Genomic DNA, 3,688 nt, shown 5'->3' with positions numbered 1-3,688 from the left:
GTCTGAGGACACAGGCAGTGTGATGGAAGAATTCCTTGTTATTCAGGGGAGGGTAGTCTTTGTTCTATTCAGGCCTTCAACTGATTGGATGAGGCCCACCATTGTGCCTCCATTATGGAGGGCAATCTGCCTTACTCAGAGTCCACTGATATGAATGTGAATCTCATCCAAAAAAACGCCTTCAAAGAAACATCCAGGATAATGTTTGACCAAACATCTGGGCAATGTGGCCCAGCCAAGTCGACATAAAATTAACCATCATGGTGTACTACATTGAAAGACATGACTGCAGGCTGTTAAATGACAGAAATTGTCATAAGTGATTCATATTACGCTGACTTTTCCTCCGACTTGCCAAGTCAATGTCTAATTACCTGTAAAGTCCTCTTCCCACAGGTATTAAACTTCTTTTGATCAGACAAAATTCAAATTAATTATTTTAAATGAAATTTATATTAGAAGAATGCCAGCATTGTACTGAGAACGAAGAGAATAACTGAACAATTGGGCATGCCCCAAGAAATTTAGTAACAAGACTCTGCACTCTGGAGCCCTAATATTAACGTGAGGACACTTTGGTGACTTTCAATCTCTCTATCTTTGATAGATGCAAGAGGAGGCCAAGGACTCCCTGCAAAACCTCAACTTCAAGCCTAAAACAGCCTGAAGGTTGAAAAACTGGACTGCTGGCTCCAGATGAAGTCCACCCTTTCCCAACTGATTCTTTCTGAATAATGCCCACCTGCACACTCAGAGGATGGGGTGGGGCCATGCAAGCTCCCTGCCGGGAACCCAGCCTCTTGAGCTCCTATGTGGTGGGGCAGGAGCCAGTTCACAGGCTTCCCTCTCACTCTGCTGAGAGTTTTTCTCTTTTCCTTTTTTTTGCCCAATAAATTCCATTTTTCTCACCCTTCTGTGTGTCCATGAGCCTAATCTTTTCTGATTGTGTGACAAGAACCTGTATTTTCCTACAACATCTTTACTCAAAAATTCGAATTAGATTACTTTTAAATGTAACTTAAGCAAACCTTATTTTCTCTGCCTGGATCAGATGTCTACCACAAATAATAGATTTCAATAAGAAAAGGCAGGTCCATATAGCAGAGACATAGCTACAGATAGCCTGAACCTGGATGTCAGGGCTGTTCTACTAAAGCAGAGGTTGCTGTGAGATGCGGAGCCTGCCTACGTGGGAACTGCGCTACATCAGATAGATTTGGCACCTGCCAGGGTCTTGCACAGATGCTTGCCAAGATTCTTTGTAATAACCTGGGAAGATGTGTTCTGCCAGGTACCACCGTGTCAATGATAAACTGGAACATCTGAGTTGTCAAAGCTGAATGATGTTCCATTGCAACACATGAGAAAAATGCCTCTCTCTGCATTTACAGTTTCACTTTCTATACATAGTCTCTAAGAGTTGCTGCTTCTACCCTAATACCTTACATGCTGTACTAGTTTTTCCTTAGAGCTCCTTCCCCTGCCCTCCTTCTATGAGACTATTACACGAGGCTAAAATGTGGGGCCAGAAGATAAATCTAATGAGAGCTGTTGCTAGTGGTTTCAAAATAATTTCTTTTCTCAAGTGACTAAATATATATTTTTTAATTTTGCTGGCTCCAGAGTGGCATGCCTGACACAGTCCTCTCTTATTATAACTTCTACTCAAGCAGACACTATGTCTCTTATGCAAATAGACTCCTGAGAGGATTGATCCAACATCCAGTAGACATGCTCAGACATGTCTGCACCCTAGTGACAGACAATGTAGATGTCCCTTGCCCCACCCAATAGTACTTTACCTTTGTACCATGCTTCCTATTTTACAAAACAGTCCATATGTGCAATCACATTTGATTCTCAGCGTGCGTCTCACAGGGAGGCAGGCAGGATCGATGGTTTTACTTCTATTTTACAGATTCAAAAACTACGCCTTATTCAAGTTCACATAGCTGGCAAGTGGATTAGATTAGGCTCTTTTAACTTCAAACCCACTGCTCTTTCTATTCCAGCCTACTATATCCTTTAAAGGGGGGGATGGATTAATTTACTTCCACTTGAGAAATTATCAGGACAATGAGCTACAAGATGACAAACAATGAGGGTTTGCTATTTATTATGTGTGAAGCAGGGCATTTTACCCACTGAACAGCAGGATCTCAATTGTTGCTCATTCCAATACCATGGTAACTATATATTTTTCTTTTTAAAAACAATATTAAATAATACATTGTGCCTTTGTGTACATATAAGTGCAGTATGGTATTTTGGCAGTTTATTGCAAAGTATCAAGGCTTCCCGATGACATGCTAAGGAATCAAATTGAAAACACTGGGTCTATGTTTTCGCATAAAAATCAAGAGCCAAGAACTCTCAAGTGGATACCAATGTAGTATAGTAAGGCAACCACGTTATGCACCTAGATATTCCCATATGTACAGTGACACATGATTACATGAAATTGACAATATTGTCTTTTTAAAATTATCAGCAATAGATCTGGAGTAATAGAAAACTTCTGAAAATATTCCACAGTCCGTCAGTTGTTGGTCCTGTGTCTCTCTCCCACCGATCATTTGATTTTTCATTTCAAAGCATTCACAGAGAAGGCATGACATTTTTTCATTTCTTTTCCATCTGTAGGGCATGTTGGAGTCCTTTATTAGATTTTATTAATATTTCAGAGTCCCAGGATTGGGATGATTGTTGAATTGGTGAAGGCGACAATATCAGGCAATTTGCATTCTATTTGAGTCTCATTATCAACTCAAGTTGGTCAGGCTGTCAGCCATGGAGAAGGGCGTTGCCTGGCATTTAGGAATTATTCAATGAATAAAATTTTTAAAAGCCATAAAAATCATATACTTTTCAAATTCACATACACAGACTTGTGTTAACTTGTCATATTTCAGCATCACATTAAAACTATCTTCTGTAATTATGTCTAATTTAAACTGTAACAATTCTGTAGATATCTTATATCTTAAAGCCCTTTTCTTGGAATAAAAATTCTTACACATCTCCACATTGTCTATCTTAATTCTAGCCATGATTGAGAAGTCTTCCTATTAATTCATACATCTTTATTTTTTAAAGTCTTTTTGTCGTGCATTCTGCACATCTCTCTATGCAGAGTTAGCTCTTTTGAGTTATTAAATTCAATAATAGTACTTATAACAACAATAGCAGCAGCAACAGCACTTACATTTAGATAGTGCTTTCTATATACTAGAAATTGTGCTCAACTATATGCATTATTTCATTTCATACATATAGCAACCTTATGAGTTAGGCTATAACTCATTTTGCCCCCAGATTTGAAGAATCAGGCTCAGAGAAGTTACCTAATTAGCCCATGGTTATGCAGCTAGTGATTTGAACTGAAATTTGAACCCAAGCAATGACTGGATTTTGCATCATTTATATTGAACATGCATCTGTCAAAGTTGTAGTCTTTAAACTCATATCATTAGTATACTTATAGGAGTTATTTAACGTAGCACAAAATCCAACATCTAGATTTCCCACTATTCACCATCTTGAATAGTGGGAATAGACAATTGCCTAGAGGAGAGTGCTACTTTTTCTCTGCAGCCTATCCCAGAAGGAATAGACAATTGTTCAGCATGAGAACGGTGTTTTTTCTTTGCCGCACAATTGGTCATTCCCGTGGGCTAATATAATGCAA

At 38.7% G+C, this 3,688-nt stretch overlaps 1 annotated feature.

The window, feature by feature from the left end:
- Positions 597-1,796: an enhancer, noted in NCBI's record as "MED14-independent group 3 enhancer chr3:152955-154154 (GRCh37/hg19 assembly coordinates)". NCBI's record gives its function as "activates an origin of replication core promoter dependent on BRD2, BRD4, P300/CBP and CDK7 cofactors, and independent of MED14, by STARR-seq in HCT116 cells {active_cell/tissue: HCT116}" and the evidence as "EXISTENCE:reporter gene assay evidence [ECO:0000049][PMID:35650434]".

Source organism: Homo sapiens, chromosome 3 (assembly GCF_000001405.40).
Source record: "Homo sapiens chromosome 3, GRCh38.p14 Primary Assembly".
Lineage (NCBI taxonomy): Eukaryota > Metazoa > Chordata > Mammalia > Primates > Hominidae > Homo > Homo sapiens.
The sequence above is the reverse complement of the archived record's forward strand: the minus strand, read 5'-3'. Positions and strand labels throughout refer to the sequence as shown.